The 16,087-nt window shown below is 46.0% G+C and overlaps 1 protein-coding gene and 1 pseudogene across 2 annotated transcripts in view, besides 2 other annotated features; both read right to left on the bottom strand.

The window, feature by feature from the left end:
• Positions 1-15,866, bottom strand: part of LOC112268307 (uncharacterized) — a 106,617-nt gene extending 90,751 nt beyond the window's left edge. For both annotated transcript variants that reach the window (XM_047442705.1, XM_047442706.1), the window contains exons 1-2: positions 15,728-15,866; positions 14,772-14,830 (exon numbers count right to left, since the gene is read on the bottom strand). In XM_047442705.1, the coding sequence (XP_047298661.1) occupies positions 14,772-14,830; positions 15,728-15,793 (125 nt within the window). In that variant the 5' untranslated portion in view covers positions 15,794-15,866. The remainder of the gene's footprint in view (positions 1-14,771; positions 14,831-15,727) is intronic.
• Positions 10,824-11,121, bottom strand: RN7SL799P (RNA, 7SL, cytoplasmic 799, pseudogene; annotated as a pseudogene).
• Positions 15,568-15,727: an enhancer, noted in NCBI's record as "active region_29708". NCBI's record gives its function as "activates an Ori minimal core promoter by ATAC-STARR-seq in GM12878 lymphoblastoid cells {active_cell/tissue: GM12878}" and the evidence as "EXISTENCE:reporter gene assay evidence [ECO:0000049][PMID:35858748]".
• Positions 15,858-15,957: a silencer, noted in NCBI's record as "silent region_20878". NCBI's record gives its function as "represses an Ori minimal core promoter by ATAC-STARR-seq in GM12878 lymphoblastoid cells {active_cell/tissue: GM12878}" and the evidence as "EXISTENCE:reporter gene assay evidence [ECO:0000049][PMID:35858748]".

The raw sequence follows: 16,087 nt of genomic DNA, 5'->3' as shown, positions 1-16,087 counted from the left end.
TCTTAACTACTTCAGGTAAGCTAGGCCCCTTATCTCCCTTTTATCTCTCCTGACCTCCCTTTCCTTTCTGCCTTTCTTCCTTCCTCTCTCCCTCCTTTCTTCTCTCCTGCTATCATGTTAATGTTGTACTTCCCAAATTCAAATGTTGGAACCTAATCTCCAGTGTGACAGTATTAGGTGGTGAGGCCTTTGGGAAGTGATTAAATCATGAAGGCTCCAGTTTCATGAATGGGATTAGTGACCTTATAAAAGAGGCCCCAAAGACATCCCTCACCCCTTTCACCATGTGAGGACACAGCAAGAAGATGCTGTTAATAAACTAGAAAGTGGGCCCTCACCGGACACCAAATCTGCTGGCACCTTGATCTTGGACTTTCCAGCCCCCCAAACTGAGAGAAATAAATTTCTGTTGTTTCTAAATTGCCCAGTCTAAGGTATTTTGTTATAGCAGTGCAAGCAGACTAAGACACCTCCCTTTCTTCCTTCCTGACACTGCCATTATCCTGGATCTTGGCTCTGCTTTGTACATGCCACTATCAGTCTGCACTCTCTCCTGCAATGGGAAAATTATTTTGCTTTATTCAAAAAGATGGCCCCGGAGGACTACATCCAAAGTGTAAAATGGCCCATGGGACTCCAGAAACCAGAGAGATCCCCATTCAGCTGCTAACTTGACAGCCTGATGGAGAAGGTGGTATTTGATCTTTGCTTTGAAAGGTGGAAAGAATTTTAATCAGCAGAGAGGAAGCAAAAGGTATTAGTGGAGGGAACTCTATGAGCAAAAGCATAGAAGTGGAAAAATGCAGGGCAGCTTGGTTTCAGTTCAGTGAATTTGAACAGGAGCTAGGTTGCAGACTAAACTGAAGACAGCCATGAATACCTTGGTTTTTTAGACTTGAAGGTTTCAGTTCTTAGAATGGGACACTTATACTCACAGGAATGACTTCCTGAGCATATGGAGAACATGTTCCCTGATTTCCCAGGACATATCTGCTAGCATTAACTAAACCACTGTCGTGTGTGCACATATCAATTTACTTACAAGTTATTTGCACATCTATAATTTCATTTACTTCTTAGAACAATTCTGTGAGGTAAGCAGAACAGTTTTTGTACAGATGTTGCAACTAAAGCCCAGAGAAGGGAGGGGACTTGACACAGTGAGGCAGTGGCAGAGCCAGGACTGAACCCACAAGACTCTTGATGCCCAAGCCAGTGTCATTTCCCAAGATGCTGCTTTGCTTCATGTGTGAATGTTAGCACTGAGGCAGGGGTGGTGCATGGAGGTTGCAAGCTCTGACTTCATTTTCCAGGCCTGGGTCCCCGCCCTCCCGCCGATAGAACTTAGCACTAAGGAGTGATGTAGCAAGGTAGGAAAAGGTGGCAGCTCCAGTGACTGGGGATAAGCTAAAGGGGCTGGGCTAAGCCTACAGTGAGGGGCTGGGCATATGGGAGGATCAGAGGCCTCCCTCTCCCTGCCTAGGGATCAGAGGGGCCCCGATTCTACTTTGCTGGTTATTTCCAAACTCTAATGGGGTTTCATTGTTCCCTCAGCCTTGAGGAAACCCTGCTCCTAAACAGTCAAGCCAATGACCATCTGTTTCATCCTGGTATCTTCTGAGCTCTATCCACCTACAGGCACAGAAGACATTAACTTCCAGCTACTAGCCTACTTGTTAGCTCCTACTTTGCCAGTCTCCAAGTAGGCTGCTTCTTCCCTGGAGAAAATCAGAGGCTAGGCTGGTGGCAGAATCTGGTCCAGTGATACCTCCAATGCTCTGGCTTGCAGTTCCTTCACCTTCTTGACTCTTGTACCACCCCTCACTCTCCATTTTAGTATCCTTGGCCTTACCTGGAAATGCAGGTTCCCCTTTTTAGTCAGAATTGCTTGCTTTCCCAGAAGTTACATTCCTGGAACTCTATGGTTTGATTCCACAGAATCTATTCAACAGATATTTATTGAGTACCTATTCTGTGCCAGGAACTGCATTTCAGGCACCACACAAGCCTAATTTATCTGCATTTCCCCTCTCCCCTGTCTTCCCTTCCCTCACTGTCCATCTTTGACTCTGTCTTCAGTCACTTCAGTCTCCACACTAACTTTGGATCAAGTTGTTGTCCTCTCCTAAGCCTGGTCTAAGGAACACTATAGAAGAAATAGAAATAACTAATCATCATAGAAATCTAAATAATCGAGAGAAGAATGATGGTCATCAGAGGCTGGGGGACTTTGGGGGAAAAGAAATGGGGGATTATTCATCAAAGGGTACAAAGTTTCAGATAAACGGGATGTGGTGGTTAATATCGAGTGTCAAATTGATTGGATTGAAGGATGCAAAGTATTGTTCCTGGGTGTGTCTGTGAGGTGGTTGCCAAAAGAGATTATTAAAATCTGAGTCGGTGGACTGGGAGAGGCAGACCCTGCCTCACACAGTCTGGGTGGGCACAATCTAACCAGCTGCCTGCTCGGCTAGAATAAAGCAGGCAGAAGAACGTGGAAGGAATAGACTGCCTGAGTCTTCCAGCCTTCACCATTCTCCTGTGCTGGATGCTTCCTGCCCTCGATCGTCAAACTCCAAGTTCTTCAGCTTTTGGACTCTTGGACTTACCCCAGTGGTTTGCCAGGGGCTCTCAGGCCTTTGGCCACTGACTGAAGGCTGCAATGTTGGCTTCCCTACATTTGAGGTGTTGCGACTCAGACTGGTTTTCTTGCTCCTCAACTTGCACAAGGCCTACTGTGGGACTTCACCTTGTGATTGTGTGAGTCAATAATACTCCTTAATAAACTCCCTTTTACATATACATATATCCTATTAGTCCTGTCCCTCTAGAGAACCCTATTACAGATTTTGGTACCAGATGTGGGGTGGTTCTAGAGAAACAGAATATTAAGGATGGAGTTCTTTAGTTGGTTTTGGGGTTTCTGGGGTTGGCTGCTTAATATGATTAGAACCCAAAATGCTAAGGACTCTACTTCTAATAGTATGGAGAACATTGATAGTCCTTGGTGTGAACTATTTAGAGAGTTATGCAAAATAAACACATTTGATACTCCTGATTCACTGCTTGTGAGAGGCAAGGAGTTTAGTGACTATACATAATACCTTTGACCATATGTGGAGAACCAAGTAATATAATAATGTTGGTTGGTTGCTCCTAAGTTAACTGGACAAAATGATGAAAGAAAATGATGAACTCAGGGATTCTAACTCTCAGCCCCAGAAGTACATACTGATCCTCAAATCTTCTAAGATTGCCCTGAGTGAGAGTCTTATCTCCTATAGAGAAACAGCTGAAATTGTGTAAAACCAGACACAAATTCTTGTCATGCGAGTGGCTGACCTGCAATGAAAGGTGCATGCGCAGCCTCACCAGGTGTCTATTGTTAAAGTGAGGACACTGATTAGAAAAGAGTGGGACCCTGCAATTTGGAATGAGGACATGTGGGAGGACCCTGATGAGGCTGCGGGCACTGAGCCCCTAAATTGTGATTATCCTTTTTTTGCCAGAGAAAACAGCCTGCTTACCCCCAGTGGTGGCCAGATCCCCTCCCTACCCATGTTGCCATCAGCCTTCCCAACTTTGTCTGAGGAGATTAACCATGAACTTCCTGAGGCAACAGTAATGTCCTCCCTTGAGGCACTTGTCAGGCAAGACAATGCTGATTCTCCTCAGGACCCACCCGCAACACCGCTGTTTGCTTCTAGTCCTATAACTAGACTCAAGTCCCAGCGAGACCCTAGAGATGAGGTTTAGAGTGTGACACACAAGGAGGTGCACTACACACTCCAAAAGAACTGCTTGTGTTTTCTAATTTACATAAGCAGAAATCTGGAGAACAGGCATGGGAATGGATACTAAGGGTGTGGGATAATGGTGGAAGGAACATAAAGTTGGATCAGGCTGAATTTATTGATATGGGCCAACTAAGCAGGGATCCTGCATTTAATGTTGCAGCTTGGGGAGTTAATAAACGTTCTAATAGTTTATTTGCTTGGTTAGCTGAAATATGGATCAAAAGATGGCCTACTGTGAGCAAGCTGGAAATGCCTGATCTCCCTTGGTTTATTATAGAGGAAGGGATCCAAAGGCTTAGGAGGATTGGAATGCTAGAGTGGATTAATCACTTTAGACCTACTCATCCCAGCTGGGAGGATCCAGAAGACATACCCTTCACCAGTAGTTTGTGAAACAGATTTGTGATGGGAACACCTGCATCCTTGAAGAGCTCTGTGATTGCTCTTCTCTGTATGCCAGATCTTACATTGGGAACCGCAGTAACTAAATTAGAAAAATTTAAATGCAATGGGAATAATTGGATCCTGAGGTGGAAGGGGTCAAGTGGCAGCACTCAACCGTCAAAGGCAAGATGGGTGTAGTTACCATAATGGAGAGCAAGGCAAAGCAGCCATCAGAATAGTCTGACTTGTGCAGAGCTCTGGCTTTGGCCAATTAAACACGGTATTCCTGGAAATGAAATTGATAGAAAGCCTACTGCATTCTTTCTTAATTTGTAGGAGCAGAAAACTTCGAGGTCAAGTGGACAAAAGACTAATTGGAATTGTAAAAATATAGAATCACAGCCCCTCCATCAATTTCCAGACCTGAACCAGTTTACAGACCCAGAACCCCTTGAATGAAGGGGAAGCCGAATCCCCTTGAGGAAAGACCCAACTACAATACCAACAATTTATGCTGTTAATCTTTCTCCCATCCTTCCCCAAGGAGACTTCTGGCCTTTTACCACAGTAACTGCATTGGGGAAAGGGGAATTATTAGATTTTTGGGGGACTACTGGACACTGGCTCTGAGCTGACATTGATTCCAGGGGGCCCAAAACGTCATTGTGGTTCTCTAGTTAAAGTAGGGGCTTATGGAGGTCAGGTAATTAGTGGAGTTTTAGCTCAGGTCTGACTTACAGTGGGTCCAGTGGGTCCCCAGACTCAACCTATGGTCAACTCCCCAGTACATGAATGCATAATTGGCATAGACATACCTAGCAGCTGGCAGAATCCCCACATTGGTTCGTTAGCTGGTAGGGTGAGGGCTGTAAATCAAAAACAATATCACATCCCTGGAGAGATTGCAGAGATTAGTGCTACCATCAAGGACTTAAAAGATGCAGGGTGGTGATTCCCACCACAACCCCATTCAACACTCTTATTTGGCCTGTACAGAAGACAGATGAATCTTGGAGACTGACAGCAAATTATCATAAGCTTAGCCAAATGGTGACTCCAATTGCAGCTGCTATACCAGATGTGGTTTCATTGCTTGAGCAAATTAACACATCTCCTGGTACCTGGTATGCAGACTTTGATTTGGCAAATGCCTTTTTCTTCATTCTTGTCCATAAGGACCATATGAAGCAATTTGCCTTTAGCTGGCAAGGCCAGAAATATACCTTCACTGTCTTACCCCAGGGGTATACCTACTCTCCAGCTTTATGCCATAATCTTGTTCACAGAGATCTTGATCACATTTCCCCTCCACAAAATATCACACTGGTCCATTACATTGATGACCTTATGCTGATTAGATCCAGTGAGCAAGAAGTAGCAAACACACTGGACTTATTGGTGAGACATTTGCATGCCAAGGGATGGGAAATAAATCCAACTAAAATTCAGGGAACTTCTACCTCAGTAAAATTTCTAGGGGTCCAGTGGTGTGGGGTCTGTTGAGATATTCCTTCTAAGGTGAAGGATAAGTTGCTGCATTTGGCCCCTCCTACAACCAAGAAAGAGGCACGATGCCTAGTGGACCTACTTGGATTTTGGAGGCAACACATTCCTCATTTGGGTGTGTTACTCTGGCCCATTTATTGAGTGACCTGAAAGGCTAGCAGTTTTGAGTGGGGTCCAGAACAGGAGAAGGCTCTGAAATAGGTCCGGGCTGCTGTGCAAGCTGCTCTGCCACTTTGGCCATATGACCCTACAGATCCAATGATGCTCAAAATGTCAGTGGCAGATAGGGATGCTTTTTGGAGCCTTTGACAGGCCCCCACAGGTGAATCACAGTGGAGGCCTCTAGGATTTTGGAGCAAGGCCCTGCCATCTTCTGCAGATAACTACTCTCCTTTTGAAAGACAGCTCCTCGCCTGTTACTGGGCTTTGGTGGAAACTGAACTTTTGACTCTGGGTCATCAAGTCACCATGCGACCTGAACTGCCTGTCATGAACTGGGTGCTTTCTGACCCATCTATCCATAAAGTGGGGCATGCATAGTAGCATTCCATCATCAAATGAAAGTGGTAGTATATACAAGATTGGGCTTGAGCAGGTACTGAGGGCACAAGTAAGTTACATGAAGAAATGGCTCAAATGTCCATGGTCCCCACTCCTGCCACCCTGCCTTCTCTCCTCGAGCCTGCACCAGTGGCCTCATGGGGAGTTTCTTATGATCAGTTAACAGAGGAAGAGAAGACTAGGACCTGGTTCACAGATGGTTCTGCATGATATGCAGGCACCACCCGAAAGTGGACAGCTGCAGCCCCTTTCTAGGACATCCCTGAAGTACAGCAGTGAAGGGAAATTTTCCCAGTGGGCAGAGCTTGGAGCAGTGCACCTGGTTGTGCACTTTGCTTGGAAGGAGGAATGGCCAGATGTGTGATTTTTTACTGTTTCATGAGCTATAGCCAATAATTTGGTTAAATGGTCAGGGACTTGGAATAAGCATGATTGGAAAATTGGTGACAAAGAAATTTGAGGAAGAGGTATGTGGATGGACCTCTCTGAGTGGTCTAAAACTAAGAGGATATTTGTATCTCATGTGAGTGCTCACCAAAGGGTGACCTCAGCGGAGGAGGATTTTAATAATCAAGTGGATAGGATGACTCATTCTGTGGACGCCACTCAGCCTCTTTCCCCAGCCACCACCATCATAGCCCAATGAGCCTATGAACAAAGTGGTCGTGGTGCCAAGGATGGAGGTTATGCACGGGTTTTGCAACAAGAACTTCCACTCACCAAGGCTGACCTGGCTGCAGCCACCACTGAGTGCCCAATTTGCCAGCAGCAGAGACCAACACTGAGCCCTCCATATGACACCATTCCTCTGGACGATCAGCCAGCTACTCTGTGGCAGGTTGATTATATTGCACCTCTTCCATCATGGAAAGGGCAGTGGTTTGTCCTCCCCAGGACAGACACTTATTCTGGATATGGGTTTGCATATCCTGTGTGCAACCATTCTGCAAAGACTACCATCTGTGGACTCACAGAATGCCTTATCCACAGTCATGGTATTCCACACAGCATTGCCTCTGACCAAGACCCTCACTTTATGGCTAAAGAAGTGCAACAGTGGGCTCATGCTCATGGAATTCACTGGTCTTACCATGTTTCCCATCATCCTGAAGCAGTTGGAATGATAGAACGGTGAAATGGCCTTTTGAAGTCACAAGTAGAATGCGAACTAGGTGACAATACTTTGTAGGGCTGGGGCAAAATTCTCCAGAAGGCTGTGTATACTCTAAATCAGTGTCCAATATATATGGTACTGTTCCTCTCATAGCCAGGATTCACAGGGTTCAGTCATCAATGGGTGGAAGTAGCACCACTCACTATCACCCCTAGTGACCCACTAACAAAATTTTTGCTTCATGTTCATTACTTTCTACTGGCCTAGAGGTCTTAGTTCCAGAGGGAGGAATACTGCCACTAGGAGGCACAACAATGATTCCATTAAACTGGAAGTTAAGATTGCCACCTGGACACTTTGGGCTCCTCCTACCTCTAAGTCAACAGGCTAAGAAGGGAGTTCCAATGTTGGCTGGGGTGAATGACCTGGACTATCAAGATGAAATCAGTCTACTACTCCACAACGGAGGTAAGGAAGAGTATGTGTGGAATACAGGAGGTCCCTTCGGGCATCTCTTAGTATTACCATACCCTGTGATTAAGGTCAATGAGAAACTACAACAACACAATCCAGGCAGGACTACAAATAGCCCAGACCCTTCAGGAATGGAAGTTTGGGTCACTCCACCAGTACAAAACCACGACCTGCTGAGTTGCTTGCTGAAGGCAAAGGGGATGCCAAATGGGTATTAGAAGATTATAGTCATCAATAACAGCTGCAGACCAGTTGCAGAAATAAGGACTGTAATTGTCATGAGTATTTCCTCCTTATTTTGTTAAGAACATGTTTGTGTATGTATACACTTGTACTGAGAGAATATCTTCACTTTATTTCCTTTCTTTTTCCTTCATCATGTGACATAAGATTTATTGACTTCCTATCAGCATTTAAGTGTTGTTATCTTTATGTAATAGCATTTCGGCTAAGGATTAGTCAGCTTCCGGTTGTACAAAGGATAGCTGTATTATGTTAGGCTTAATTTTGACATTATTATTGTCTTTATTTAAAGATTATATATGATTTCAGGAGATGTGTATGGGTTCAAGTCGACAAGGCGTGGACTTATGGTTAATATTGAGTGTCCACTTGATCAGATTGAAGGATGCAAAGTATTGTTCCTGGGTGTATCTGTGAGGGTGTTGCCAAAAGAGATTAACATTTGAGTCAGTGGATTGGGAGAGGCAGACCCACCCTCAATCTGGGTGGGCACAATCTAATCAGCTGCCAGCTCGGCTAGAATATAGCAGGCAGAATAACGTGGAAGGAATAGACTGGCTGAATCTTCCAGCCTTCCTCATTCTCCTGTGCTGGATGTTTCCTGCCCTAGAACATCAGACTCCAAGTTCTTCAGCTTTTGGACTCTTGGACTTACACCAGTGGTTTGCCAGGTGCTCTCAGGCCTTCACCATTCACTGAAGGCTGCAGTGTCAGCTTCCCTACCTTTGAGGTGTTGTGACTCGGACTGGCTTCCTTGCTCCTCAGCTTGCACACGGCCTATTGTGGGACTTCACCTTGTGATCGTGTGAGTCAATTCTCCTTAATAAACTCCCTTTCATATATACATATATCCTATTAGTCCTGTCCCTCTAGAGAACACTGACTAATACACAGGAGAAATAGGTTTTGAGATCAATTGCACAGGAGGGTGACTATAGTCAATAAGAATGCATGATTTATTTCAAAGTAACTAAGAGAGTAAATTTCAAATGTCTTACCATAAAGCAATGACAGGTAAACAAGGTGATGGATATGTTAATTAGCTTGATTTAATCATGCCACACTGTATACATATATCAAAACATCATATTATATCCCATAAGTGTACACAATTATGATTTGTCAATCAAAAATAAAAATAACTCTAAAGAGTTGATTTCCATCAAGCACTTATATGTTCCAGGCAGTGTCCTCAGTAATCACTTCACATGGATTAACTCATTTATTTCAATGGCTTTGTTTTATTCATGCCCATTTTATAGATGAGGAAATTCAGGTGCAGTGAAGTTAAGTAGGCTAAGTGAAGTTGCTCTAGGTCAGACAGCTAGGAAGCAGGATGTCACAAAACTACAGAATGGGGTGGCTATACATTCCTGGGTGACAGCCTAGCTGGACCTTTACCAACTAGCCCATTGTCTGCAGTGGCTATTTCAAACCTTGTCCAATATTAACAGACTTCCTTGAACCTCCGTCTAGTACTGCTTTTCCTCTCACTGTCAACTAGGAATTTTGCCTCCTTCCTCCCAGAGCAGGTAGAGGTCATAAGGAGTGACATCTTCAACCTTCCATAACAACAAACTCTACTGAGTCCACCCATTTTTCCCTCTTGTCTTGATCCCTCATCCCAGCAAAGGTTAATTCATCTGTAAGGGCTCTGGATTCCATCCCCCACTCCCACCCGTAGCCCCCACCCATCAATTACCTTGTTTCCTGTATCTTCTACTTGATTGATTTCTTTTCCTCTCAGCACATAAACAAACTCACATCCTTCCATCTTGTAAAAACAAACCTGAACACCAGGGCCCCCTCTAGCTACCACATCTTTGCGGTCAAACTTCTAGAATAAGGAAGCTGTATACATTCTCCCTTTTCTCACAGACCATTCTCTTGACACCCCAGGGCAGTCTGGTGTATATCTACAGCTCTGTCCTAAACTGGCCTTGCCCATATCACCAGTGACTTGCCAGATCCACAACCAATGGCATCTTTTCTGCCTGTATCTTGCTGGATTTCTGGGCAGCATCTGACACATACACTCTTGGTAACTCTGTCTTTTATAAAATCCCAGTACTTTACTTGGCTTCCAGGAGAGCCAGTTCTCTTTGCTCTGGTTTCACATTGCCAATCCCTCTTTCTCCGGGCCTTGTGGGCTTCTATTCCTCACTCTTCTCTTTCCCTCACATCATTCATCTAAGGTGTCAACACCAAGTCCAGCCAGTTCTATCTTCCAAATACATCCAGAGTCCAATCAGTTTCCACCACCTCCACTGCCTCTATTCTGATATGGATCACTATCAGTGCCTCCTTCCTGGCCTCTCTGCTTCTTCCTTTGTTGCTATAGCTCCCTAAATGTTTTACTAAGGTCATGTAACTCCTCAGCTCAAAATCCTGCAAAATCTAAAGTCTTTAAAATGACTCAGAAAACTATACATTGTCTGTTTCCCTATGTCCTCTTTGACCTCCTCTCCTACCACTTTCCTCCTCACTCACTGTGTTCCAGGTGCACTGGCTTGCCTAGATGCTCCTCTAACATTTCAGCATGTCACCACCTCAGGAACTTTGTATTTACTGGTCTCTCTACCTGGAATGCTTTTCCTCCAGATATCCTCATGGTTTGCTCTCTCAGTTCCTCTAGGTCTTTGCTAGAATATCACCTTCTCCAACTTCCTTGTTTAAAACAGCACCCCTCAGTACTGCCTATACCCATTCCCTGCTCTATTTTTCTCCATCACATTATTTTTTCAAGAGACAAGGTCTCACTATGTTGCCCAGTCTGCAGTGCAGTGGCTATTTGTAGGCGCAATCCCACTACTGATCAAGATGCAAGTTTTTATGTGCTCCGTTTCTGATCTCGGCCAGTTCATACCTCCTTAGGCAGCCTGGTGGTCCCCTGCTCCTGGGAGGTCACCATGTTGATGCTGAACTTAGTGCAGACACCCTATCAGCATAGTGCATTACATCCCAGAACTCCTGAACTTAAGCTATCCTCCTGCTTCAGCCTCCCAAGTAGCTGGGACTACAGGCATGTGCCACTGCCCCAGGATATCCATCACATTTATTGCCATCTGACCTACTGTATATTTTATGTATATATTTGTTCATTGTCTATCCCTCACGGAGCTTCCATTTTCATGATAAGAAAGAGAAAATTTAAAAATGACTCTAAAATAAATAACAATAAAAAATATACCAAGAGGTGGTAAATGCTGTGGATAAGAAAAAAAGGCCTATTAAAGAATTGGAGAGTGAAGGGGGTGGAAATGGGGATTGCTATTTTATATATCAACTGTTCAGTGAAGGTGTCACTATTAATGACATTTGAGCAGCCACCTGAAGGAAATGAGGTGCAAACTATGCCAATATTCAGAGGACAAACACTGTAGGCAGAGGGAGCAGCCAGTGCAAAGGCCCTGAGGTGGGATTTCTGACAAGTCAAATTCAGTATGTCCTAAACAAAATCATTTTTTTTTTGGAGACGGAGTCTCGCTCTGTCGCCCAGGCTGGAGTGCAGTGGAGCGATCAAGGATCACTCCAAGTTCTGCCTCCCAGGTTCATGCCATTCTCCCGCCTCAGCCTCCCAAGTAGCTGGGACTACAGGCGCCCGCCATCACGCCCGGCTAATTTTTTGTATTTTTAGTAGACACGGGGTTTCACCGTGTTAGCCAGAATGGTCTTGATCTCCTGACCTTGTGATCCGCCCACCTCGGCCTCCCAAAGTGCTGGGATTACAGGCGTGAGCCACCGCACCTGGCCACATTTTCCTAATTCTGTTCCTATATTACTCAGTTCAGTGGATGACAACACCATCCAGCAGTCCCTTGTCCAAGTAAGAAACTCAGGAGTTTTCTTCCTCTTCCACTAGACTGGTTGCCCTTGAGACCAGAAGCTGTGTGTAGTCCATCATTCTGGGTAATGAGTGTGTCACTTAACACAGGGCCTGGCACAAAGGAGATGCCCAATGAGTGGTAACATCACACTTCATTGGTGGATGCTGGCACTTAAGCTTGATATTAGGCCTGAAAATGCCTCATTTCATGTTCAGTAAATACATACTCATCAACAAGTTTCTGCCAAACTCTCTGTTGAGTGCTGAGGATATGAAGATGAACAAAATATTCTGCCCTGGGAAACTGAGTCTGGGTCTGCACAATAAAGTGAGTCTGTTCATAAGGAATCATAGGCTCATGTGTGTTTATATTAAAAACTGGTTTCGGCCAGGTGTGGTGGCTCACGCCTGTAATCCCAACACTTTGGGAGGCCAAGGCAGATGGATCATGAGGTCAGGAGATCTAGACCAACCTGGCTAACACAGTGAAACCCCGCCTCTACTAATAATACGAAAAATTAGCTGGGTGTGGTGGCAGGTACCTGTAGTCCTAGCTACTCGGGAGGCTGAGGCAGGAGAATGGCGTGAACCCGGGAGGCGGAGCTTGCAGTGAGCCGAGATCGCTCCACTGCACTCCAGTCCGGGCGACAGAGCGTGACTCCGTCTCAAAAAAAAAACCAAAAACAAAACAAAAACTGGTTTCAAAGTCATATTAGCAGTTCCATAACTTTGAAGATCTGTACATTGGATCAGAAGGATAGCAATAATAATAACAGCATCAGTAACTAACATTTATTGATACCATCTTATGTACTAGCCTCTGTGCCACTTCATATGGACTACTCAATTCTTACCACAATTCTCTGACATGGGTGCTATTATTTTCATTTTGCAGAAAAAAATGTTGAGACTCAGAGAGGTAAATTGACCTGCCCAGATCATACTGCTCCTAAGTGGCAAGCTTCACATCCCAGCCCAGGCAGTCTGGTGGCAGAGCCACTACAACATACCACTTTCCTGGAAAAGATGAACTTAGCTAGTTGAGCCTCAATTTACCCAGGCAGTCATGGTCTTTTACACTTTGGCCCCAGGCCTTTCTTTCTAGTCTAATGTCCAGCTCTTCCTCTCCCCACCACACAAATACTTAGCCACAGCCATCCAGAATTGTAGCTCTTGCCCAACCCACCATACCCTCTCACTGATGGGCTTTGGCTTGGGCAGGAATCCTTCCCCTACTTTTCTGACTTGACCCAACCGTCAAAGCTATCCTCCATAGAACTTTTCTCTGATACCCCTTGCCACCCTGGGGAGAAGGAGTCTCTTCATCTGCAATGCTCCAGAACACCTTTGCCAGACCTCTAGTGTAGATTTCAGTTCCTCTCAGAACTCCATACCCAGGTGCCTCAAAAAGGTTAACACTGTACTGCTTCTCCCAATAACTATCAACAGGCCTGGCATAGAGGAAATGACTATGGAATACTTGGTGAAGAAAGAAATGAGCATTGTAATGATGTGCCCTGTAATGATGTGTCTACTTGAGTTTATGAAGTTGCCTCCACACAGCCCACACATCTGTTCTTATGGGCTTTTCACCGCAGCCACAAGACACTAGGCAGCACGAGGATTATCTCCATTTTGCAGGTAAACAAACTTAAGAAAGATTTCCAGCTCCTCACAACCAGTGCCTGTCTTGACTAAGCAAGTTGACCACGTGTCAGTCAGCATGTGGAATGGGGTCTTACAGTACTCTCTCTATGAGGAGGCATTTTGAGGTGCAAGTTTATGCACACACTTGGTCTTTCCATACATCGTCCCTGGAGAGAAGTGAGCTATGCAAACAAGAAGCTGTGTTGTCCCCTCCCACATCTTTTCCCCTTTAATACACACATACAGTATCCTCCCAAGACTCAGTAATATCTGGACCATAAAGAAGGGTGCTCAGCTGGGAGTTCTCTAGGATCACAAAGAATATTTTTTTTCCTGAAGCCCCATTTCTTTTGGGTTTAGCTCAATTTCTCACGAATTGTTCCTCCCACACTAGTCACTCCAAAAACTGACTGGTGTGACAGAATGTTTGGTGGCTGGGCAGAAGGCATAGAAGACTAGCCCCTGTGACAGGAGCAGCACAATAGTGCCTGGGACTATTTCAAGCCTGCCACCTGACTACTTTGCACACCTCCTCTCTCCCTGCTTCCACAACTGAGACTGCTCTGGCCCTTTGTTTCCCTGGACCCCAGGTTTGCAAACTGCCTTCTCATAATCTTAGTCTAATTCAAAGAATCAAGGTTCTGAGTGAAATGTGAGCAAGTGGCAGTGACCAGAGGCACGAGGTAGGGAGGAAGTCTATAATGGAGATTCTGGAAAAGAAAATAAACTTCCAAATCAGGCCCACAAATGAGAATCAGGACTTTGCAAAGCAGGAAAGCATAGCCCCAGGGAAACTTTTATAGTCCAGCCATCCAGATGGGAAAAAAGTTGCATAATGAGCCAGCAGCAGCTCCCTACTCCTCATCGTTTATTTAGACTCAGTACTAGGATGGGAGTCTGATGTTCAATATTGATTTTTGTTGGCAATGTATAGAATGCCATGGAAGGTCATGGAACATCTATATTTTCTATAATATTCCGTGGAAGATCATGGAATATTATAGAAAAAAATGAGTTGAACTGTCAGATCTCAAAGATATCAAGGGAGCCTGATGATGCTTACCCTCTCCTTGTGGAGGTGGGGTGATGCCCTGGCCCAGAGAAAAAAATGAATTGGCCAAGGTGTCCAGCAAGTCTGAGGTAGAGCTAGAGTCAGATCCCTAGCAGCCATGTCAGTTCCTGTGCTCTACACATGCAGAGGCAGCAGTCCACCTCTTACCAGTTCAGCAGCTGGATCTTTTCAAGACTGTCAGGACCCAGAAGCAGCAGAGAACACTCCTGCAATGCAAAAATAGCACGCATTGTTCTCTAATCCTTCTCTCTATCCTCAGCTTTAATCCACCCACCTCCCTTTTTAGACACACACAGAGTTTTAGGGCTGGGCCTTCTGGATATTCTTGAACTAGTGGTGGAACTAGATTCTTTGCTGCCTCAGCTCACCTGGCCCTGGCAGCCACTGATGCCACTTAATGTCCTTAGGCTAGAGACCCAAGTTCGCCGGGCTCCCTGCCACATCCCACACACAGTAGCAGACAAGGCTGGTACAGGCCTCCTCACTTTGTCCTCAGCCTGACCTCCGGTTTGGGCCCAGACAAGATTTTCCTCTCAATATTTAGACTTTTCAAGGAAAAAGGCCTGCCGAAAGCCAGGCTCACAAAGGATGGGGGAAGGGGGACTCTGGAGACCTTGGGGATTCCCTCCACATTCCATAGAAGGTGCGAAATTTGGGTGAGGGTCAAACTATGGAAACAGGTATCATCTCAGAGAAGAAAAGTGAAAGCAATCCTGGAAAGGGAGCCCGGGGCTCTGGATTCCAAATTGGCCCTTGTCGCCGGCAGGCTGGGTAACTGTGGGGAGGGACTTTCCCCACTCTGGGCAGCAGAGGGCCCGTCGGTAACGGGTGGAAGTTGGCCTCTATGGTCTCTAAGGGCACTGGTGTGCCAGAGAGGCGGACGAAGTTAGGGCGCAGGCGCTGCAGCTAGCTTTCCTGGCAGGTGAGTCCCTCCTCTGGGTGGCCTGGCGGCGCGATCCGCAGGGCCTTGTCTCTACGACTAAGGATAGGCCGGCCCTTAGGTTTCTGCAGTCTTCCCAGATTCCTCAACCTCTCTGCCTCGTTACTCCCCGCCGGCCTCTAGCTCAGGAATAAACGTCCTGGTGGCGGCCAGGGCACAGTACCGCGAATGCACAGCGGCCACAGAAATGGGAGTGCGTGAAAACCGAAACCGATCCGGCGAGCCCCATCCGGGCAGGACTGGCTCCTTGAGGCCACGGTGTAGCCACGCCACTACCAGCCCGGCGTGGGGGCGGGAGTGGGGAGCCCCAGCCAGTGGTTCCGCACCCTCTCCGCCCCCTGCCAACACCACGCCTGCACTTATTTGCATTTAAAGAGAAACGCACCAAGGAAAACAGTGGGCGGGCCGGGGCACGCCTTCCCACCATAGCGATTGGGCCATATGCCTGCCAATCAGGACGCAGATGCCCCACCCGGTGGCCTTGGAGTACTGGGGGAGGGGGTATGGGGGAGCTACCCAAAGC

This window comes from Homo sapiens, chromosome X (genome assembly GCF_000001405.40).
Source record: "Homo sapiens chromosome X, GRCh38.p14 Primary Assembly".
Taxonomy (NCBI): Eukaryota; Metazoa; Chordata; class Mammalia; order Primates; family Hominidae; genus Homo; species Homo sapiens.
The sequence above is the reverse complement of the archived record's forward strand: the minus strand, read 5'-3'. Positions and strand labels throughout refer to the sequence as shown.